At 37.9% G+C, this 25,537-nt stretch overlaps 1 protein-coding gene and 2 pseudogenes across 6 annotated transcripts in view, besides 1 other annotated feature; 1 reads left to right on the top strand and 2 right to left on the bottom strand.

Annotated features, from left to right (window-relative positions):
* Positions 1,717-2,916: an enhancer, noted in NCBI's record as "BRD4-independent group 4 enhancer chrX:51666077-51667276 (GRCh37/hg19 assembly coordinates)". NCBI's record gives its function as "activates an origin of replication core promoter dependent on BRD2, P300/CBP, MED14 and CDK7 cofactors, and independent of BRD4, by STARR-seq in HCT116 cells {active_cell/tissue: HCT116}" and the evidence as "EXISTENCE:reporter gene assay evidence [ECO:0000049][PMID:35650434]".
* UQCR10P1 (UQCR10 pseudogene 1) lies at positions 1,929-2,353 on the bottom strand (annotated as a pseudogene).
* Positions 3,398-4,233, top strand: IPO7P1 (importin 7 pseudogene 1; annotated as a pseudogene).
* The window catches only part of MAGED1 (MAGE family member D1), a 99,279-nt gene continuing 97,284 nt past the window's right edge, over positions 23,543-25,537 (bottom strand). For all 6 annotated transcript variants that reach the window (XM_011530835.3, XM_047442676.1, XM_047442677.1 and 3 more), the window contains 2 exons: positions 23,959-24,344; positions 23,543-23,751 (listed from right to left, as the gene is read on the bottom strand). In XM_011530835.3, coding sequence (XP_011529137.1) covers positions 23,967-24,344 — 378 coding nt within the window. In that variant the 3' untranslated portion in view covers positions 23,543-23,751; positions 23,959-23,966. The remainder of the gene's footprint in view (positions 23,752-23,958; positions 24,345-25,537) is intronic.

The raw sequence follows: 25,537 nt of genomic DNA, 5'->3' as shown, positions 1-25,537 counted from the left end.
TTGTCCTCCCTTCTAGACACTTACTTTCCCCTCTGTGGTGTTGTGGGATATGGAAAGACAAAAAAAGGGACACGCAACTCTTTACTCAACTGGATGAATTTTCCAGTCCCACTCTCTTATTGATGTAACTTCTTCCTTAGACCACATTTGAGGCTTAACGAGAATGGGTTGTAATTATACTAATGCCTTATTGATGAGGGGCTCACCTCAATGTAACTTCCCTAAACATTGAATACCTTGCAAGATTTGGTCACCACTCCCCACTGTCCTCCAACTGGTGGCTTTCATATAGCATCGCTCTATTGTGTGTGCCTTTTAGCTATCCACCCACATACTGTGGCAGTACTAGAAAGACTATGGCCCTCAATCGCATCTTCTCTCAGTTATCAATGCTATGACAGTCCTATAAATCCTCTTTACCAGGCAATTCCCACAATGTCATCTTTCCCCATTCTCTTTTGTGCTACTCAACTAATATGGGATCAAATCAATAAGTACATAGGCTAATCAGACATATAACTGAGGAAAAAATATGTCTGCCATTCTCAGAGGAAATCTTTATTTTTATAGTAATATTCATTTCTAATTTAATTTTGTTGTGGTCAGAGAATATACTGTTATCAATCTTCTAATATCCATCAAATCTGTAGTGATGTACACTCTTTTATTCCTGTTACCAGAGTTTTCTCTTTCTTTGTTCCTTGGACATTCTCTCTAGGAATTTATAATTTTTATTAATCTTTTCAAATTATCTCTGATAAAATATATACTTTATATTCATCTCTGATAAAATACATATATATTTTTTGGATATGGAGTCTTGCTCTGTCACCCAGGCTGGAGTGCAATTGCACGATCTCGGCTCACTGCAACCTCCTCCTACCGGGTTCAAGCGATTCTCCTCTCTCAGCCTCCCTAGTAGCTGGGATTACAGGTGTACACCACCATGCCTGGCTAATTTTTGTATTTTTAGTAGAGAGGGGTTTTGCCACCTTGGCCAGGCTGATCTCGAATTCCTGACCATCACCTGCCTTGGCCTCCCAAAGTGCTGGGTGATTAACATCTTATTTACAAATATGTTATTTCATTTATAAATATTTGGAGGCATTTACAGATATTTCTAGATACTTCATGTTTATTTCTAATTAAATTTTGTTGTGGTCAGAGAACATACTCTGTAAGATTTCAAACTTTTGATATTTATGGATACATATTTTATGGTACAGAATATAATTTACTTTGATGAGCATTCCATGTGCCCTTGGAAATAATAGGAATTCTTCAGCAATTAGGAGTAGTGTCCTATAAAATGTCAATTACATTAATTTGGATGACAGTATTATAGAAATATTTTAAATCTTTACTGATTTTTTTTAGTTCTTCCATTAATTACCGAGAAAGGAGTGATAAAAATCATCAATTATGATTTTAGATATGTCTCTTTCTCCCTTCAGATCTGTCTGCATTTGTCTCATAAATTTTGAGGCTCTGTTTTTAGACACATATATATTTAGCATTACTATTTATTAATGTACTATCTTTATACCCCTATCTCATGTGATATTCTTTTTCTTGGTCTAGTTTGTCTGATATTTATATAGCCAAAACAGTATTCTTAGGTTTGTATTTTGCTTTTTCTTCATTTTATTTTCAATCTATTTAAGTTTTTATATGTAAATGCATCTCTTTTTGTTAGCAAATAGTTGGGCCTTGCTTTCTTATCCTATCTAATAATCTCTGCCTTTCTATTGGAGTGTTTAGTCTCTTTCTATTTAATGTAATTATAGATGCGATTCAGTCTGTCATTTGCTATTTGTTTTCTTTTTGTCTCATTTGTTTATTATTCCTCTGTCTCACATTCCTCACTTATTTGGGGATAATCAAACATTTTTAGTATTTTATTTCAATACCTCTATTGTCTTTTTTTTTCAAGGGCAATTCACATTTATTTCTTGATGATGCTGACTAAACATACTTCAAACACGGCAGAAGGTAAAGAGTCTGTTCTGTAGGTAAAGCTGTTTCTTGCCAACAGTGAACAGTGGTACATGAAAAGTAACTTGAGCATCGTCTTCAAGCTGAGGCCCCAACTCTGGGCAAACAGCTGGCGAGTGGACCTGGTCCTTCTGGCCTGGATGGGGGCCTCCAAGGAACTACTTTTTCTCATACTTTTGCTTGATGTGTTTCCATAGCTTCCCCTCGCTGATGTGCTGGTAGATCTCGTCCGCGCCCTGATGGAAGACTCGCTCGAAGAACAGGACGCCCACAGCGATGGTGAGGGCGAAGGTGGAAGTCCTGCGGAACAGCAGGGAGTACAGTTTCGCAGTCAACGTCGGCATCGCCATGTTTCTTCCTCTATTATCTTTTTAATAATAAATTTTGGTATTAATTTTAGGGGTTGCTCAAGGGTTACCATATGCATCTTTAACTTATCACAGCCTATTAACGTTAATATTTACAACTTCACATAAAACATAATACATTTACAATAGTAAAAATTCATTCACGTCTCTCAATTGTGTAGTTGTGAACATATATTTTATTTCTACATTCATTATAGACTCCACAATAGAATTTTTTTGCTTTAGTTTTCCTTTTTATAATTAAGAGAAAATAAAAGGTAATATTTTATGCTTACCTACATATTTAACATTTCTGCTGCTCTTTATTCCTCATTGTAGATAAAAATTTCCATTGAATCTCATTTTCCTTCAACCTAAAGAACTTCATTTAGCATTATTTGTAGTACTATTCTGCTGGTAACAACCTCTCTTAGTCTTCACTTCTCGCAAAAGATTTGTATTTCACATTGATTTTTCAAGTACATATATAATATATATATGATATAAAATGTTGGTGTAACAATTAACTTTTTCGTTTTGCACTTTACATATATTGAAGAAAAGTAAGGCAGCAGTATTGTTTTGGGAGTAATGTAAAAATTCTATTCTAGCTCTTGATTGCTAAATCTAAATCCTCCTTCCTCCTCTTTCATGTTTTTCTGACTTGGTACTAGGACTAAAAACCTAAGCATTAGTGCTTTCCAGATGCACAACAATAGGCCACCAAAACCAAGGGCCTCTATTATCCCTGAGGCAACCCTGGCCCCCCTGTTGTCATCCAATTAGGAGATAAGAAAGTAGCTTAGATTATCCAGGAGGCAGATGCAGAGAGGGAAAGGGATGGGGAAGGGGACTCACCCATCAGCTATTACACACATTGTTCTGCAGGGAACTGATATCACCTGCCTGGCGACTTGACTTAACATTTCTTTGTACCTCCACACCTTTCACAGAGGGTTGAGGAGCCCTAAGGAAATACAAAAGATTGGAAACACGGTGTCAACACTGCAGGACCAAGGTAAATTCACCTTAGAACAGACAGACCAGACTAGGAGGCAATGCAACATTTTCTGCCAGTTCTAAAGGATCATTTTATCCAGCTTCTTTCTGACCAGTCTGATCAGTCTGTCCTCAATCAGAAACAAATATTCAAGATCTTCTATGCTCTTGTTCAGTAGATTTAACGGATTTAAAAGAGCATATGCCTGCCATGCAGAACACGGGAATGACAGTGATGATGATGATGAAGCTGAAGATGATGATGAAACCGAGGAACTGGGGAGTGATGAAGATTATATTGATGAAGATGAGCAAGAATATTTGGAGATTCTGGCTAAGCAGGCAGGTGAAGATGGAGGTGATGAAGATTGGGAAGAAGGTGATGCTGAAGAGACTGCTCTGGAAAGCTATTCCACAATCATTGATGATGAAGATAACCCTGTTGATGAGTATCAGATATTTAAAGCTATCTTTCAAACTATTCAAAATCGTAATCCTGTGTGGTATCAGGCTCTGACTCACACAGTCTTAATGAAGAACAAAGAAAACAGTTACAAGACATAGCAACTCTGGCCAATCAAAGAAGAGCAGCCCATAAGTCCAAAATGATTGAGAAGCATGGAGGATACAAATTTAGTGCTTCAGTTGTGCCAAGTTCTTTGAATTTTGGAGGCCCAGCACCACGGAAGAATTGAGTTATCTCTTTCTTTCCTGCTGTGTGATTGCAGTGAAGAGCTTGCGTTCCTCCTAGTAGTGGCTCCAGAACTGGTTCATGTTATCTATTCTAAACTAATGATCAATAGATGGAAAAAACAAACAAACAAACAAACAAACACCAACAACCCCAGGAGATGGGACCTGATCATGCAACCTGGCACTGGAAAAGAAACCAGCGGGATTTGGGGGGTGGGGAGATCTTACCTTAGGTACCTTAGGGGGCATATTTTCTTTATTTTTTGAAGAAAGTAAGATCCTGACTCTGAAGCTTTAAAGTGACACTGTGGAAATCTGAAACAAGAGGGGATGTCATGAAGGCAGCTTTTCTTTTTCTGAGGAAAAAATAGGCATGGGCTACAGGACTATTTAAAATGTTTCATTTACAGTATAAAGCTCAAAAGTAGATGTAATGTTTACACCCGTGGGTATTTGTCCAATTTCTATCTCTTCCTCGCCATTGGGTGTCTATTCTTTATATGTACATAAAATAAGGTAATCTGATAGCCTTATTCAATCTTCATCATTTTCATTCATCGTTGTTCCTATGTAGATTATTGGACACTTACTGTAGCACTACATAACTGATTATACAAATCTGTAAATGAATTAGCACTTTCATATTAAAACAAGGCTGCTAGCCTATGTATAAAATAGCAAAATGTTTTCTGTTTATAAAAAGATGTAATGGGGTGGGGAGGCATGGGTAATTTCAAGTTATTAATTTAAAAATGAACTAGCAATTTTATACCTGGTGACTGTGTGACACTCACCTCTGATAGTGACTTGAATTTGGTATGTAAAAATGGGTTAGTGGTATTTCATTGCTGCTAAAAATGACGACTCACTCTGTGTCCTGTTTTTCTTAAAGCTGTCAGTGTACAAGTGGGTATTTTAATACCAGACCTTACTATAAAAAATAAGAAAGGTGGTATCTAGAGCATGTAAATTGGATATAAAGTTCTACTCTTAAAAAGTTCATCTAAGAGTATGGCTAAACATCTATATATGCAGTCTATTAAAAGAACTTAGTTCGGCTATTATGTCTTGATTTGATTGATTGCAGTTTTTTCCTAATTAAAACATTTTTTTCCTCACTGGCCTGCTTTTAATCCCATACCTAGAAGAGTACAAAATGCACACTTAAAAAAAATTGATATCTAACACTTACCTACTCCCCCTTCCCCATCTCTTCTACTCCTCTTGTTGATTGTGGTATCTAATCTTAACTAGATAGGCTGACGGCACACGGCTCCCTTCAAAAACCACTATTGATACCACTGCAAAAACAAGCCAGCAAAAAGACAGTGTAGAGAGGTTGGCTTGCTTCCCTCTCTTCCTAACTGCATGTTGAAAAATAAGCCTTTATTGATCTTAAACATCTGTCAGATGAGTCATACTTTGGGTTATTTTTTATATACGTGTATACACAAAATATTTCAAATTGAAAGCAACATCTTAATGGATTCAAAACTATTACAAGCTGTTGTCTAAAACAGATGAGAAAATTTATAACTGTAAAAACAAATGCACATACTGATATTTAAAATGCATAATTAAGAAAACCCATTGGTGTTGTGTTTTTCTTGTATACCAATAATTAAGCCACTACTGTCAGCACTGTTTGGTTTTCCATTTTAACACTGAAGAAGTGAAAGTATTTCCTATATTTGTGAACTTACTACTAAAATCTTGGCAAAAAAAGAAAAAAATTGTCTAAAATGTGTGGGTGAAAACTGTTAATCAAGTGTGTTTCTACTCCCCACCCCCAACCCCCTGAAAGTTGGACCCCAACTGTATACCCTAGGTTGCTTAAGGGGATTTCACTATTATATAAAGTCAGTAAAAATGAAGTGGTTGTATATATGCAACACTGTGTACAGAGGGGAGATAATGAATAGTATAAAAGAAACATTCTCACCTTCCTTTACCTTTTGTTCCCTAACACCTAGTCTTCTTTTTAAATGTTCAGACTTCACTGCCTTTTGAATTCATAATTGTAATTTTCACATTATTGTTAATGGAAAATCATATCTAATAAAGGTTTTAGTTATTCCCATGCAAAGTATGAAAAAAGAAAAAAGAAAAAAGGACAGAGAGCTCTATGCTAATGAAGGTGCTGGGTAAGAGTGGGTGGTGACTCTCGGGAGAAGAGGGAGAAAAATGGGCCTGCTAAGGAAGTTTAGTCAAAACATAGAAAATCTTAAAGGCACATGACACAGAGTTCTATGTTTATCCTATAGGTGATAGTCAAAAGAATTTTAACAGGGGTATGTTGTTACAAAGCAAATACTACCAGCACTTTAGGGAATGAACAAGAGTGGTGGATGCCTCTTCTTTCACATAGTGAATAGCATAAACTAAAAAGTTTCTCTTGGGAATATTTTGAATATTTTGTGGTGAAGTATCCATACCCTTTTCTGGGACACTAGGGTGTTATCTAATCCTCTCTCTTAGCAAAATACTCATGCTGGTATTTTAAATTCATTAGATAAAAATAAACCTACTAAATAGGAAACTTAAATTCAGGAGCCATGAAAATGTTATTCCCCTGACACAAATAAATATTACCAACTATGACCATTAAACAAGGTAATCTTGGTGCAAAGCTGCAGGATGGTGTTACAGGTTTCTCACGTTAATTTTTTTTTTTTTTTTTGAGACAAAGTTTCGCTCTTGTTGCCCAGGCTGAAGTGCAGTGGTGTGACCTTGGTTCACTGCAACCTCCGCCTCCTGGGTTCAAGCGATCCTCCTGCCTTAGCTTCCCAAGTAGCTGGGATTACAGGCACCTGCCATCATGCTCAGCTAATTTTTTGTATTTTTAGTAGAGACTGGGTTTCACCATGTTGGCCAGGCTGGTCTCGAACTCTTGACCTCAGGTGAGCCATCCCTCCTCAGCCTCCCAAAGTGCTGGGATTACAGACATGAGCCACTGCGCCTGGCCTGGTATTAAATTTTTTAATTCCTCATGAGCTGGTATTGTTAATACAAGCTGATAAAGTCTTTTTGTCAAGACTTTCAGTATTCAGAGAAACTGAAATGGAAAAGTGCCTCCCATCCTGAGACCACTTTACTGCACCAATCTTAACTTTGTCATAGGGTGATTCCAGTCCCCTTTCATGAGCATGTATTAGGAATACTTACTTTATTACCATTCCGCTGGGGCTCAACTTGTGTGATGGTACCATGTGATATGAGTATGATCTCACAAATGGATTTGTTTCGAGATGGCAGAGGAATGTAACTCTACCAAAGCCTATGGGAACAGAGAATTGATTTTCCAATGGTGGAGAAACTGTTGTGTAACAGACAGTTGAGGATTGATTATAGAGACTCTAAAGCAGGCTCTACCTGTCATGTGAAGGTGTAATTGGAAACTGACCACCAAAGAGAAATTTATTCACCCTGTTTTGACTATGCTTATATAAATATTTGACATGAGCCTGTGTGAGGTTTGTGTACAAGAGAAAATGTATATTGGAAAGTGGTAGCAATGCTGCAGGACAAAATTTCAAATACATAACTTACTGAGAGCTGAAAGTTACTTCTTAAAAACACAAGAGCGATATGTGCTCTCTCTTTCAAAGAAATCAAATAATATGAGGTACATAGAATAGCATTATGTGCAAGGAAAGACAACAATTAGTTAAATATGTGTGTGCAGTTACTAAAGATGAACTTAATTGTCCAATTCTAACTGTAATTAAGACAACTGAGAAGTGGCAAAAAAACAGCAAGTTCACCTGGGATGTGTTTGTCAGTTTGGACAATTTAATGTCAAAGTTAAATTATTGAGAAGTAAAATGGTAGCTAAATGAGGACAACCTGCTTACTGTGAGACTAGATTAAAAACCAGGAACTGGTTTCACAGCACCTGAGCATGGTGCATGAAACATAAAAAGAAAAGTAAAGAGTAGGGAAACTAACAGAGTTCAAGAGGCCTCCCATCAGTCTTTTTATTTAAGTTGCCTGTATTGCATCACCATGAATTCTAAGAAGGCAGGGTACGGGTGACATCCTGATACGAATTCAGGAAATGAAAGCAGGTGCCAATAAGGCTAAGTATCATAGAACACCCTAAAGAATAAATGGGGAAGAAACAAAAAGGAGAACAGGGAGGGAATAATGACTCTGCAAATGATTGAAACTACTAATAACTACAGAAAGTTACCCTTGTCTTTTCATACATGAAGTCCACCAATCATATCTGCAAATACCTAGTGCTGACATCTGGATGGGGGCATGGCAACACCTGAGGGCATGTCTATTTGAGTGGGTATGTGTGACATTTCAATGTGGATTATGACATTTGGGTCGCCATCTGCACCACCTGCAGTAGAACGAGAGTTATCCAATTATGTGGCATTACTGGTAAGAATCTGACAGTGTGAGGTTAGCATTTGTTCAGAGGATACAAGAACACCCTACTCCTATGTTACACTGCTTTATTGCCCCCTCTTAGGGCTTTCCTTGAAAAAGACATGCACACAAGGACCTGAAATATCATTCACTGGGCCAGTTCCCATGACCCCTCAGTGCAGAGCCCTCAGGTCAACTTGAATTGAAGCACAGGTTTAGGCACAAGAATGAAGCAGGGTATCTTTGCCTCTTTTATTCTACAGAAATCTTATCATCAGCTGACCCCTAGTAGGCAGGAATGACAGAGCCCAAAATCTCCAGTGAGAAGAAAGAGAGGCCAGTGTGTCAATGCCCAGCTTTCACAGTCAGCACCAGCTTATCTCATCACTTCAGTATCATAAGAAAGAGAAGAGCTTAGATGTGTCTTACATGTATGGGTGTCACTTAGCAATGCACAGTGGTACTCCTTACAGTGCTCCAGAATTTGACCTATCACATTGGTCTTCCTTCCTCTAAGGGAGTAGTGAGGAAGAAGCTTGAGAGAAAGAGGCTTTTCTTGAGCTGGAGATGAGTTGTAAGAGAAACCTGCCCCCATCCGAGTGACCTAAATCACTAATGCTTGGGTAGAAACTGATATGATCATAGAAAAAATTAGGTCATGTGTAAAAAAGGATTTTGCTGCTCAAATCTCAAGTGTGTCAAGTCTAAAAACTATAAATACTGAGGATTTTCAAGTTTTAATAACAGTGTAAATCAGCCACATTTTTTCCTTGACAATATATAGCTACATTTACAAATATAATAGAAGGATAGTGACTTCACAAATTTATTATATATTCATTGCTTTATAAAAATCAAGCACTATACGAAAATATAAAGGCAAAAGCAATATATTATACCAAATTGAAACACCAAGAATTAAGCAGTGTTAACACAGGATCAAAAACACATCAAAAGTAATGTTTCTACACTTCACTCTAAGTGGAATCCTAACAAATGTTCATATAACCTATAGGGAGCAGAGAGAGAGAGAGACAGAGACAGAGAGAAACAAAAAACAGAGGGATGCACAGAAAACAAAATGGCATACTTAAGCCTTAAAATAGGGACAGTTATTGTAAATAAAAATGGTTTAAATATACCAATTAAAAAGAGATTAGATCACCAAGAAATGATAGATGTTTAAGGTGATGGATCTGTGAATTACCCAAACATGTATACATGTATACCCAATGTATACATGTTTCAATATATGTTACCATTATACAATGTATACATGTATTGAAACATCACAGTGTACCCCATAAACATGTATAATTATTATGTGTTAATTATAAAAAAATTTTTTTAAATACTTGGCAAAAAAACAGATTGGCAGTATGAATTTTCAAAAAATCCAATGTATACTATCTACAAGAAATTTACATCATAGTACTTCCTGTACTATATTGAATAGAAGTGGAGAGAGTGGGAATCTTTACCTTGCACTGGATCTTACAGGAAAAGTTTTTCATTTTTCCCCATTGATTATGATATTAATTGTGGGTTTTTCATAAATGACCTTTATTTTGCTGAGAAACTTTCCTTTTATACTTAAACTGTTCAGCATTTTTATCAAGGAAGGATGTTGAACTTTGTCAAATGCTTTTTCTGTGTAAATTGAGATGATTTTTGTGTGCTTTTTATCTTTCATTCTGTTAATGTATCACATTGATTCATATGCATACTTTAAAACAGGCTTGCATGCCAAGGATAAATTCCATTTGGCCATTATCTTAGTCTTTTCTGTTGCTTATAACAGAATATCCAAAAGAGGGTACTTTATTTTAAAAAGGAATTTATTCTTATATTTATGGATGCTGAGAAGTCCAAGGTCAAGGGACTACAAATGGTAAGAACCCTCTTGCTGCTGGGGACACTGCAGAGTCCCGAGGCGGCTCAGGGCATTACATGGTGAGGTGGCAGAGCATGCTTGAGTCTCTTTCTCTTCTTATAAAGCCACCAGTTCCATTCCCATGATAACCCATTAGTCCATTAACTCATTAATCCATTAATCTATAAATGGATTAATCCATTCATGAAGGCAGAGATCTCATTACCTATTCACCTCTTAAAGGCTCTACTTCTCAATATTGTCACACTGGGGATTGAGTTTCAACATGAGTTTTGGAGAAGACATTCAAATCATAACAGTCATGATGTATAATCTTTTTGATGTGTTGTTGAACTTGGGTTTGCTAATATTTTATAGAAAATTTTTGTATCAATGTTTATCAGAGATATTGGCCTGAAGTTTTCTTTTTTTATGGTGTCTTTGTCTGGCTTAGGTATCATGGTGATGCTGGCCTCATAAAATATGTTTGGAAATAGTCCCTCTAGCTCTAGTTTTTGGAAGAGTTGAAGAAGTATTTGTATTAATTCTTCTTTGAATGTTTTGCAGAATTCAACGATAAAGTTATCTGTTCCTGGGCTTTTTTTTGCTGGGAGCTTTTAAGTTATTATACCACTTCAATCTATTTGTTATTGTTCTGTTCAGACTTTCTATTTCTTCCTGATTCAACCTTGGTAGGTTGTATTTTTTCAGGAATTTGTCCATTTTATCTAAATTATCCAGTCTGCAGGTGTATTGTTCATAATAGCCCCTTATGACCCCTTTCATTTCTGATTTTATTGATTTGACTCTTCTGCCTTTTCTTCTTAGTCTAGCTTTTTTTGAAAAAAATCACTCAGTTTTATTGATTTTTTCTTATTGTTTTTCTATTCTCTATTTGATTTACTTCTGTTCTGATCATTATTACTTACTTCTGCTAAAAAAGAAATACAAGGTATCCAAGTTGGAAAGAAGAAAAGTAAAATTATCTCCATTTGCAGATGACATAATCCTATATATAGAAAACCTCAAAGATTCCACACAAAAAAACTGTTAGAACTAATAAATCAATTCAGGAAAATTGCAGGATACAAAACAATCCCATTTATGGTAGCATTAAAAAACATTTAAGAGTAAATTTAACCAAGGAGATGAAAGACCTGCACATGGAAAACTATAAAACATTGAGGAGAGTAATTGAAGAAGATACAAATAAATGGAATGATAGTCCATTCTCATGAAATGGAAGAACTATTAGGTTGCTGCAAAAGTAATTGTGGGTTTTGCCATTTCTTTTGGTTACAGTAAAAACCACAAATAGTTTTGCACTAACCTGATAATATTGTTAAAATGCCCATGCTACCTAAAACAATATACAAATTCAATACACTCTCTATCAAAATTGCCATGGCATTCCTCCCAGCAATAGGAAAAATAATCCTAAAATTTGTGTGGAATCACAAAGACACTGAATAGCCAAAGGAATTCTGAGGAAGAAAAATAAAGTTGGAGGGATCACACTTCCTTATTTAAAATTATATTACAAAGCTACAGTAATCAAAACAGTATGGTAGTGTCATAAACAAACACATACAAAACAGTGGAACAAAATAGAGAGTCCCAAAATAAATCCACACATATACGGTCAACTAATTGTAGATAAGGGCACCAAGAGAACACAATGGGGGAAAAGATAGTCTCTTCAACAAATGGTGCTGGGAAAACTGGGTTTCCACGAGGAAAAAAATGAACTTGGACTGTTATCTTACACCATACACAAAACTCAACTCAAAATGGATAAAAAGACCTAAATGACAAAGGAACCAAAATACACATTACAGAAAGGACAGGCACTTCAATAATTGATGCTGGGAAAACTTGATGTGTTTATGTATAAGAACAAAACTAGACCCCTATCTCTCACCATATACACAAACCAACTCAAAATGGATTAAATACTTAAATCTAAGACCTAAAACTATAAAACTACTAAAAGAAAACATTGGGGGAACATTTTAGACTGTTGGTCTAGTCAAAGATTTTTTTAAGACCTCAAAAGCATAGGCAGCAAAAGTAAAAATAGACAAATAAGATTACATCAAGATAAACACCTTTTGCACAACAGAGGAAACCATCAACAAAGTGAAGATACAACCTGAATAATGGAAAAAATATTTGGAAACTATTCATCTGACAAGGGATTAATAACCAGAATATATAGGTGATATGGTTTGGCTGTGTCCCGCCACCAAATCTCAACTTGAATTGCATCTCCCAGAATGCCCATGTGTTATGGGAGGGACCCAAGGAGAGGTGATTGAATCATGGGAGCTGGTCTCTCCAGTGCTATTCTCGTGATAGTGAATAAGTCTCACGAGATCTGATGGGTTTATCAAAGGTTGTTTCTTCCTCATTTTCTCTTGCTGCCAACATATAAGAAGTGCCTTTCACCTCCCACCATGATTCTGAGGCTTCCCCAGCCATGTGGAACTGTAAATCCAATTAATCCTCTTTTTGTTCCCAGTTTTGGTTATGTCTTTATCAGTAGCATGAAAACGAACTAATACAATGGGTAACTCAAACAACTCATAGCAAAAAAAAAACAAATAATCCAATTTTAAAATGGGTAAAAGATCTGAATAGACATTTCTCAAAAGAAGACAAACAAATGACCAATGGATATAGAGAAAATACCCAATCACTAGGAAAATGCAAATCAAAATCACAATGAGATATCATCTCACTCCAGTTAAAATGGCTATTATAAAAAAGACAAGAATAACAAATGCTGGTAAGAATGCAGAGTAAGGGGAAAACTGGTACAGTGTTGCTGAGAAGGTAAATTTGTACAGCCACTATAGAAAAGTTCCTCAGAAAACTAAAAACAGAACTTCCATATGACTCAGAAATTCCACTGCAGGGTATATATCCAAGAGAAAGGAAATAAGTATACTTAAGAGATATCTGCACTCCCAGGTTTATCATGGTACAATTCACAATAACCAAGACATGGAATCAACTTCAGTGTCCATCAACAGATAAATGGATAAAGAAAATGTGGTACATGTATACAATGAAATATTATTCACCCATAAAAAAGTATTAAATCTTATCATTTGCAGCAACATAGATGGAACTGGAGGTCATTACCTCAAGTGAAATAAGCCGGGCACAGAAAGACAAATGCTGCATGTTCTCATTCATTTAAGAGTGAATACTGCATGTTCCCATGCCCATTTAATGGGAGCTTAAAAAGTGAATCTCATGGAAGCAGAGAGTAGAACCGTAATTACCAGAGGCCAGAAAAGGTAAGGGGGCAATGAAGCGAAATTGTTTTAGGGGTACAAAAATACAGTTAGATAGAAGGAATAAGTTATAGTATTCAATAGTACAGTAGAGAAGCTGTAGTTAACAATAATTTATTGTATATTTCAAAATAGCTAGAAGAATCACAATGCTCCCAACATAAAGACAACATAATGTTTGGTGACAGATATCCCAATTACCCTGATTTAATTATTACACATTGTATACAGGTATCAAAATATCACATGTACCCCCAAAATATGTACAACTATTATGTATCAATTTAAAAAGAAATAAAAATACAAAGACATAGTAGGATGAAAGTGAAGGATGGAAAGTGATGTATAATGCAAACATTAACGAATGAAAGCAGGGGCCGGGCGCAATGGCTCACGCCTGTAATCCCAGCACTTTGGGAGGCCAAGGCGAATGGATCACTTGAGATCAGGATCTCAAGAGCAGCCTGGCCAACATGGAGAAACCCCTTTTCTATTAAAAAAAAAAAAACTAGCCGGGCATCGTGGTAATCCCAGCTACTTGGGAGGCTGAGGCCGGAGAATCGCTTGAACCTGGGAGGTGGAGGTTGCAGTGAGCCACTGCACTCCAGCATGGACGACAGAATAAGACTCCGTCTCAAAACAAAAATGAAAGCAGGAGTATTGATATTAATATCAAATAAAGTAGAATTGAGAGCAAAGGAAATTACTGGAGACAGAGAGACACTGCGTAATGATAAAAGGTCAATCACCGAGATTTACAACGATTTACAGGAAACTACAATCCTAAATGTGTATGCATCAAACAAAAGAGCCTCAAAATATATGAAGGAAAAGCTGATAGAGCAGAAAGAAGAAATAGACACATTTAAATTTATACTAGGGGACTTCAACAGTGCACTCCCAGCAATTGATAAAGCTACTAAACAGTATATCTGGAAGGACATAAAAGAAATGAGCAATGCAATCAACCAATATGATATAATTGACACATATATATAGAAAGAGCACTCCAACTAACAACAGCAGAAAACACATTTTTTCAAGCACCAGTGGAACATTCAATAGGATACACTATGGGGAAAACTTCAACAACATTAAAACAATTGACATCATACGGAGTATGTTCTCTATCCATAAAGAAATGAAAATAGTAATCAATAACAGAAAAACAACAGAAAATCTACAGATGCTTGTGAATTAAGCAACATATTTCTACATAATCCATGAATCAAAGAAGTTTCTAAGAAAATTTTAAAAATACATAGAACAGAATGAGAATAAAAACAAAAAATATCAATATGTGTGGAATACTATAAAGCAAAGATGAAATGGAAATTTAGAGTACTACATGCTTACATTAGAAAGAAGAAAGACGTAAAATCAATGATCTAAGTTTCTATTCCAAGTAACTAGAAAAAGAAGAGTAAATTGAACCTAAAACATGCAGAAGGAAAGTAATAATAAAGACGAGAATAGAAAACAATAATATTGAATACAAGAAAATTATACAGAACATCAATGCAACAAAAGCTGGTTCTTTGAAAATATCAATAAAATTGATCAAACTTCAGTAAAGCTGACAAAAATAAAAACAGAAAAGATATAAATGACCAATATCAAGAATGAAATAAGACTATTACTACACACCCTGCAAGAATTAAAAGGATAATAGGGAACATGACAAATAACTTAATGCTTATAAAAGCTACAACTTAGAAGAAATGAACCAATTCCTTAAATACTACAAGATAACAAAATTCAATTGAGATGAAAGAAGTATATAACTATTAAATAAAATAATTTGTAATTTCAATGCTCCATAAAAAGAAACCTACAGGTCCAGGTGGCTTCACATGAGAATATAATCAAGTATTTAAACAATTAGTATTGATTTCACACAATATAAGATACAGATAATATAAGAATAGAAAACACTTCCAAACTAATTTAATGAGCCAAGTATTTTCCTTTAAGTTAAGGAATAAGACAAGGATGACCACTGCAGCCATTTCTATTCAACATAGTGTTAAAGTCCTATCCAGAACAATCAGGAAAAGGAAAAGAAAAAGTAAAAAGCATCCATACTGGAAATGAAGAAGTAAAATTATCTCTGTTTACAGATGACATGATCTTTCTTATATGCTGAAAACTCTAAAGATTCCACACACAAAAACTGTTAGCTCTAATAAACAAATCTAGGAAACTTGTAGGATACTAAAATCAACACACAAAAATAAATTGCATTTTATACAGTAACAATGAACAATTCAAAAAGAAAATTAAGAAAACAATTCCATTTTCAATACAATGAAAAAGAATACAATACTTAGGAATAAACCCAACCAAGGTAGCAAAAAGACTTATACACTGAAAACCATAATATATATATAATAATATATTGTATATAATATATTGTATATATATATTCTATATTATAATATTTATTATATATATATGGTACCGGCATAGACATATAGACCAATGAAATAGAATAGTGAGTCAAGAAATGAACCCTCATATATGTAGTTAAATGATCTTTGACAAGGGTGCCAAGATTACTCAATGGGGAAATGACAATCTTCAACACATGGTGCTGGGAAAACTGGACATCCATCTGCAAAAAAGTAAAATAGACCTTTTACACCATAAAAATTAATAAAATAGTTTGGAGATTTAAATGTAAGACCTAAAATTTAAAAACTCCTAGAAGTAAAGATAGAAAATCTTCATGACACTGGATTTGGCAAATAATTTCTGGTTATGACACCAAAAGCAAAAAATAGACAAATGGGACTACATCAAACAAATACGTTTGTGTATCAGAGGACAAAGTCAACACAGTGAAAAGGCAACATACAGAATGGGAGAAGATATTTGCAAAGTATATACCTAATAAGGGATTAATAAGCAGAATATATAAAAAATACTCTCCACAACAAAAAATTAAATAACTTGCTTAGCACGGTGGTTCATGCCTGTTATCCTATCTCAGCAGAGGCGGGAGGATCACTTGAGGTGAGGAGTTCAAGACCAGCCTGGGCAAAATAGTGAGAACCTGTTTCTAAAAAAAAAAAAAAATCAATTAGCCAGACATGGTGGCGTTCACCTGTAGTCCTCACTGTTCAGGAGGCTGAGGTGGGAGTATCACTGGAGCCCAGGAGGTTGAGGCTGCAGTGAGCTACGATTGCACTACTGCACTCCAGCCTGGGTGACAGAGCAAGACCCTATTTCTTAAAAGAAAAACACAAGTAACCCAATTGTAAAATGGACAAAAGACAGACATTTCCCCAAAGATTATATGCAAATGGCCAGCAAGCATATTGAAAGATGCTAAACATTGCTGATCATCAGACAAATGCAAATCAAAAACACAATTAGATATTACCTCATACCGATTAGGATGGCTGCTATCAAAAGAGAGAAAATAAGTGTCACTGGGGATGCGGAGAAATTGGAACCCTTGTGCACTGCTGGCGGGATTGTAAAATTGTGCAACTACTATGGAAAATAGTATGGCTGTTCCTCAAAAACTAAAAAATAGAACTACCATATGTTTCAGTATTTCCACTTCTGGGTATATATCCAAAAGAATTGAAATCGGGGTCTCAAAGACATGTTTGCACACCCATGTTCATAGCAATACTATTCACAATAGCTAACAGGTGGGAGAATTCAAAGTATCTATTGACAGATGAATGGATAAACAAAATGTTTTATTATTCAGATTTGAAAAATAATGGACTTTTATTAGCCACATGCTACAACATGAATGAACCTTGAAGACATTATGCTAAGTAAAATAAACAAGTTACAGAAAGACAAATACTGTATAATTCTGTTTATGAGGTATATCATGTAATTCTGTTTATATGAGGTATATCGCTTGAGCTTGGGAGGTTGAGGCTGCAATGAGCTGTGATCGCGCCAATGTACTCCTGCCTGGGTGACAGAGTGAAACACTATCTCAAAAACAAAACAAAACATCATGTTGTACTCTGTATATATATATATATATATATATATATATATATATATATATATATATACACACACAATTTTTGTCAACTGTACCTCAATAAAGCTGAAAGAGAAAGAATCATGGAAATAGAAAGTTATTTTTGCACAATAAACATGGTAATAATTAAACAAGGGAAGAATAATTAATGGATACTAAAATCAGTCGATGAAAAAAATTGACATTATGTACGTGTCTAATGCCCCAGGAGAAAGTGTAACCTGCCAAAGCTTGTCTTTAAGGCCTTTCTTCAATCTGGCCTCAGCCTACACTTGTTATTTTGGTCCCCTCTGGGCCCTCTAGTCCAGTCTTTCTGCATCATTCTCCTGCCCCTCTCCACACCAAATCAAACTTACTAAAATCACCTCCCACATGTGAGCCCTTTTGCAGCTTACTGCTCTGTCAGAGACAGGGAAGGTTGATGCCAGGCTCCAGGTTCAGAGGCCATCCCAGTCCTTCCCCTATCATCCTACTGCACCAGTCTCGCCCCCGCGAGGATATCCAACCACCCATTCAGGGTACCTACCCCAGGACTCTGCTGGGCACACATTATTTTGAAGATATTTGGGCTTTTAGGTGTCTTATCCTAGAAGTGCAGATATCACTTCTGTACACTGGCCAGAAATAGTCATATGACCCCAACACAACAAGAAAGTTGGCTGGGAAATGTAGGGGAGTGCATGAAAATTCAGTTTTTGCCAAATGGTGTATTTCCTCACCTACTTTCATAGGTGAGTACACTAAGACTCAGAGAGGCGAAGATACTTGCTCAAAGTCACACCACTGAAGAAACATGGGATTAGAATCTAGGATTCTCTGATGGTGAAATCCAAGTTCTTTCCACAATACCCTGCTGCCTTTGCCCTCCTAGAGCTCAGTGTCCAGCCCCTTTGTAATCCATACGTATTCCATTACTTAAGATTTTGTTTGCAAGCAATGATGTGCTGGTAAATGGTTAATAACTAGTTCTCTGATTTTAAAAATTCCCAATTGGTAGTCTGCCATTTTTCACAAAGTTAATAATCCCACCATGGCCAATTTCACTGAAGGCAAAGGTGGGACGAGGTACATACAATACACTGTCTCAAGCTGGTACAAACTGGCTTCACCACATGATTGGTCACAATCAATAAGAATTTTTCTTTGCCAATGTAAATAAAATGGATTTTGTTAGACAGATGTCAGAGGCTCACAGAACTGGAAGGAGACTGGAGAAAGTAACTTGAGAACTGGATAGGAGCATGAAACACAGGAACGGTCTGATAAGGATGCTGCTCTGGGGATAAAAATCACATAAGCCTTTTTTTTCACTCTTGTGTCAATCACTTAAGTTTCAAAGTCCAAGGAGAGGGCATGTAATTGACTAAGAATAGGTTGCATGCCTGTCCCGTGGCAATATTGGAACCAGAGAGGAATAATCTGATTTACTCCTTGTCAATAAGGGGAGGAAAACATCTAGACATGTCATTCCACAAAGACTACATATTGGTTTTCTTTTAATGCATAGCAAACAGCCACAGACTGAGTGGCTAAAACAACATCCATTTATTATCTGCAAGTTATTATAGGACAAAAGGTGTGGCATGCCTTGGCTAGGTTCTCTGTTCAAGCAAGATGGAAATCAAGGTGTCAGCAGGGCTGCCTTTCTTTCTGATGCCTTCCAGTCTCATTCAGATTATTGGCAGAACTCTTGTACTTGCAGCTATAGTTCTGAGGTCCTCATTTCTTTACTGGCTATCAGCTGGAGGCCTCATTAATCCCATAGAGGCCACTCATATTCTTTGCCATGTAGCATCTCCATCTTCAAATCTAGGAATGGAGAATTTCCATGCATAAATCCCTCTCAATCTTCAAATCTCTCTTCCCAAGATGAGTGCAGTACCCTCTAAAGTCTTACTTGAGTAGGTCAGGCCCACCTGATTTTAAGGTCAACTGATTTTGGATGTTAATTACATGTACAAAATCCTTTCACAACAGCATCTAGATTAGTGTTTTACTGAATAACTGCCAAAAAGTCTATGTACACCAGAGGGTAGGGATCTTGTCGGCCATCCTAAAATCCCATTTACTACAATTGGAAACTGTATTATCCTAAAAGGAAAATGGGTGCAATCAGGATACCAACAAGATAAATATTCACCACAGTTCATTTGGCTAACATATACACATATTTTTTTGTCATCCCACGCTGAAATTTCACAACAGTGAATGAGGCATTCTGTAGGATCACAGGTGGTGATAAGACAGAAATATTGTGTGTAGGGAAGGCAAATCCATACCTAGAATATTCACTTATTGCTGACAAATCATAAAGCCAACAAACCCCTCCATGATGTAATGGGCCCAATGTAATTAATTTACTGCCAGGTACTGGGCTGGTCCTCTTTGGATTGGTACATATCAGAAACTCAGGATAGTTTTGGAAATTTGCACACTCAGCAGTAGGGGTAGTCATATCAGCCTTTGTGAGCGCCTTTTGTTGAGGCCATACATAGCCTCTGTTCATGCCACCATATGACTTTGTATAGGTGCCCATCGAGCAAGCACAGGAATAGCTGAGAAAACAGTCTTCCTGACCTCCAATGAGTAGGTAATACTGCTCACCTGATTACTAAGAGCTTATTGGTGAGAATGCACATTTAACACTAAGTCTCATGCTTTGGATCAATCCCAAGAAGTCCACATACCACTTCCCTAGACCTCTTTTTTGGATATTTTCCCACATGTCCTTATTCAAAATCCCTGCTAAATTAGGATGAACAATTATCCCTGGATTTGGATCTGCATGCAACAGCTTATGAGACTTTTGGTTTTCTTGCTTTGGAAAGGAGTGAATGCACTTTTGTTTGTATGAAGAATAACTGCATCATGTTGCACAGTGACCTTTTCCCAAAGGGTGCAATGTCAAGAAGTGTGTGTAGTACCATGGAATACTATGCAGCCATAAAAAAGGATGAGTTCATGTCCTTTGCAGGGACATGGATGAAGCTGGAAACCATCATTCTCAGCAAACTATCACACGGATAGAAAACCAAACACTGCATGTTCTCACTCATAGGTAGGAGTTAAACAACGAGAACACATGGACACAGGGCGGGGAACATCACACACCAGGGCCTGTCAGGGGGTGGGGGACTGAGGGAGTGAGAGCATAAGGAGAAATACCTAATGTAAATGACGAGTTGATGGGTGCAGCAAACCAACATGGCATATGTATACCTATGTAAGAAACCTGCACATTGTGCACATGTACCCTAGAATTTAAAGTATAATTTTAAAAAATTCCTATAGAAATTAATTAAAAATAATAATAATAATTAAAAGGAAGTGAGCATTTGGTGATAAAAAAAGAAGTGTGTGTAGTACATGCTAGTCAGATGAATTTCAGTGAATATTTGTAAAAATAAAAGTACTTTTTAAATTTAAATTTTTATTCTGATATAATTGAAGACTTACAAAAAATGTTGCAAAACTAGTTAAAAAAAATTCCTGTCTACACTTAACCTAGATTCTTCAATGTTAACATTTTATCACATTTGTTTTATCCTCCCTGTCTTTTGTCTCTCCTTCTCTCTATGTATGTGCACACGCACACACACTTCCATAAATATTTGGAGACTAAATTACAAAGACACTCTCTTGCAGAAAAAAATAATATAATCAAAATAAGGCCACTAACATTAATATAATATTGTTGTCTAATCTAAATCTAAAGACTTTGTTCTGATTTTGCCAATTGTGCAAATTACACAAGAATTTCATGAGCAGGGAAGGGACAGAATCAAACCTATTCTGGGGTGTGGACAGAGCAGAATGGCCTACTGAAGCCTGGAGTAAGGTGCAGTCCACAGAGCTTCCACAGGCATTAGGCCTCCTCTGTCAGCCCCAAACCCCAAAGATGCAGCCCCAAACCCCAAAGATGCACCCTCTTCCTTCTTCAGGTTCCCTAAAACTCCCACGTGATCTTCCACACTCCTGGTGTTGCCACAACCACATTGTCCTCCTGATAAACTTTGCCTGGTACTGATCACCCAAGGCAGTAGCCCCAGGACTCTTGCACCTCTTCAGCACCTAACACGGCTTGGAGGATCCACAGAGCTACATCAATATTACACAGATGCGACTGATGTCCTGCGGACCTCAAGAGCTGTGGGCAGCCGTAGAGTTCATCTCTCATCTCCATCCCCATTTACAAATGAGCAACTAAAGCTCAGAGAACTAAGACTGTTAGGGGCAGAGGTGACAGGATGCCCTGTTGGCTGCCTCTTAGGCCTGGTGTCTTCCCCACACATCACACAGCTGTCTAAATTCCCCAGGCAAGTCATGATCTGTACACAGTATGAAGCTGGGAGTGTGGGTGGTGATGGGAGGGAGGTGATACCCCATGGAAGACCTGTGCCTACCTTGGGGACTTATGGAAAGATGGATTGTTCTTTTCCAAGGCTGCAAGGTGGAGTCCGTCCACCTGAATGTGGAGGCCGTGAACACACACCGGGAGAAGCCTGAGGTAGGTGGGGGACTCCATTACCCAAGCTGGCTGTGGACACAGCACATGGTGGAAGCACCTTCTCCACAGAAAGACTGCCCCAACCCCACCGAGCCTGGGTGTTTTGCACCAAAAGGTGGAAAAAACAGCACCCAGAAATGCAGGAACTACAGCCCAGACCTGAGGCATCATGGAGATGCAGGGCTGGTGCAATCCCTGCCAAAAAGGCCTCAGGCTGAGATTTCCTCCAGGCCTACCTGAGGGTCAGGATCCAGGCCTGGCTGAAAGAGGGGAGCCTGGCAATGAGGACAACAGGCAGGGGAGGCGTTGGGGCCCTGCACTGCTGTCTCCTTCCTATTAATCCTGGGCTCTCTCCTCAGAATGTGGACATCACTCAGGAACCTAAGGAAGCTGTGGACACCATCCCTACCCACTACCAAACCCTTCCCAGGAGGCCAAATTGCCTTTGCTCTTTTTTGTGCCCCAGGAGCTCCCGTCTCTGCCCTTGTCCACATGTCCAGATACCACCAAGCACCCAAGGAAGTCATGGCCTAGGCCTAATTTTGTCCTCAGTGGGAGAGCCTTGCTTCCAGCATAGAACTCAGCAGCTCAAGCCAAGTTCCTGCTCACAGTCACAGTCAAAGCCTGTGCATGGAGCTTTGTCTTACTTTGTAATTCTTGTTCTTGAGGTAACAAAGTCTTCTCTTTCTCCCTGCAGGAGAGAAGAGGCCATTGTGAGGCCTCCTTCACTGCCCATAAGATCCTGTCTCGAGGAGGCAGCCCCGGTCCTGTGCAAGTGGGAAGATTGTGAGGGCCTCCTAGAGGGACAGGATCCTGGGCAGCATTTCCAGAGATGGGGAGGAGTGCCTGTGAGCCCATCCCTTTATGAGCAATGTGGCTAGGGGTATATCTTCCTTCTCACAGAGGAGACTCTGGCATCTAACTCATAGTGTTCTCTACTCCTACTCCTGCTGCCCTCCTGGAGTTCTTTCACTTTCCACATGGGTTGTATAACCAACACCCTAGAATCACAGGCCATGGACCCCTTATCTCCAGAATAGTCACCTTCTGTCCCCTTCAACTACCTACTCTCTGGACCTTATCATCACCTGGAGCTCCACCTCCTCTGTGTTCTTAAGTGCAACTGTCTGAGCACCAATACCCTCTCTCACTATGCGACTTCTCGCAATGTCACTCCAAGACACCTAGCAGCATATCTATCACATGAGAGTCACTTAAGTGATATTTATTGAATAAACTATACTAGTTCTTGGGTCTCGTGTTCATTGATCCTGCCTTTGTATCCCAATCCAGTAGCTAGATCTTCCCACATTTCCACCTGCTGAAAGCTGATCTACCCTTCAAACTACAGCTGAGGTCCTGTCTCTCCCACATAAACATGTTGCTCGCTCCCCAAATATAGGGAAAAAAAGAAGCAGAGAGCACATCTAATTCACTTTGCAATTTCAATGTTTATTTCTGATACCAAAACTTGACAGCACACAAGGGGAAAAAAAGCAGTAGACAAGGAACAGCAAATAAATTTATCTTGCATGCCACTTTCAGTCAACAGGATGTGGCTCTCTAGATAGCTGTGTTTAGAAGGAATCTGAGGCTTCAGCCTCACACAGGGGAAAGACTACTGCGATTGATAGCAATATCTGTGAACATAAGAAAGAAGAAGTAAAAAAATCAATGATATATATCAAATAATAAGGAATATACATACCAAAGAGTGCTGCCCCATACTTTCCTCATCTCCCTACAATGAGTTTCCTAATACTTCTAGCTCATGCACATAAATACAACCCCATGGACCCTATATCCCCCAGAGACCCTAACTGCCCAATCCAAAGTGATGTACCTACCCAACATCTCACTCAACCCAGAAGAAACCAATGGCACCAAAGTTGGCAGCGAAGTTGGCACTGGCTGTACCACCAGGACCAATAATGGGACCGGCAAAGGTCTGAGGGAATCTGGAGCGGGCATTCTGGTGGTATCTGGCCCAGAAGGTAAATGGAATTCTGGACCAGGGATCTCCAAAATCTCCTTCCTCATCCCAGGTCAGCAGCTCAAACTCAATGTCATCCCAGCTCCAGGGCCCAGACACAGCCTCATCTCCAATTCCCATGCGGGTTCTTGCTTCAGCCCGGGCTTCGGCCTCAGCTGCAGCAGCATCCAGAGCATCCAAGGCCTCATCTGCAGCCTCCATGAACTGTGCAGTCCAGTCACGAGGGTCTCTTTTCTGAACCTGAGATGAGGAATAGAAAACAAAACAAAATCCATTTACAATAGCCAAGATATGGAATCAACCTACCTGTCCATCAGTGGATGAATGGATAAGGACAATGTGATACACACACACACAATGGAATACTATTCAGCCTTTAAAAAGAAGGAAATTCTGCCATTTGCAACAACATAGATGATGCTGGATGACATTATGCTAAGTGAAATAAGCCAGACACAGAAAGACAAATACTGCATGACCTCACTTATACATGGAATCTAAAAACGTCTAACTCATAGAAGCAGAGAGTAGAATGGTAGTTTCCAGGGCCTGGGGTCAGGAGGGATAGGGAGATATCGGTTAAAAGGTACAAAGTTTCATTTAGATAGGAAGAATATGTTCTGGAGATCAACCGTATAGCATGACGACTATAGTTAATAATAATGTGTCGTTTATTTAAAATTGCTAAAAGAGTACATTTTAAATGTTCTCATCACAAAAAAAATGTCAAGTATATGAGGCTATGGAGAGTTAACTAGCTTGATGTAATCATTCTGCAATGTACATGTATTATCAAAACATCATACTGTACCCCATAAATATGTATATTTTTTATTAGTCAGTTAAAAATAAATGAATGGGCCGGGTACGGTGGCTCACGCCTGTAATCCCAACACTTTGGGAGGCTGAGGCAGGCAGATCACTTGAGGTCAGGAGTTTGAGACCAGCCTGGCTAACATGGCAAAACCCTGTCTCTAATAGAAAAATAAAAATTTAGCCAGGCATGGTGGTGGCACGTGCCTGTAATCCCAGATACTTGGGAGGCTGAGGCACAAGAATCGCTTTAACCTGGGAGGCAGAGGTTGCAGTGAGCCAAGATTGCGCCACTGCACTCTAGCCTGGGCAACACAGCAAAACTCCATCTCGGGAGAAAACAAATAAATAAATAAATAAAACAAAATACTTAAAAATTACATTGTACACCACAAATATATACAATTTTTGTCAATTATAATTTAGTAAAGTTGGGAAAAAATAAAAATACTTTAAAAACCTAAAAAAAAACCCAAAACAAACTCATAATTGTATTAGCTAATATATTAACATATGTTAGCACCTAATACATGTTAAGTTTACCTAACAGCAACAACAAATACCACCAGCAATGCGGCACCTACCACCTGCCACACCTAGGATCTCATTCCTACCCTGGG

This window comes from Homo sapiens, chromosome X (assembly GCF_000001405.40).
Source record: "Homo sapiens chromosome X, GRCh38.p14 Primary Assembly".
Taxonomy (NCBI): domain Eukaryota; kingdom Metazoa; phylum Chordata; class Mammalia; order Primates; family Hominidae; genus Homo; species Homo sapiens.
This window is presented reverse-complemented; position numbering and strand designations above follow the sequence as displayed.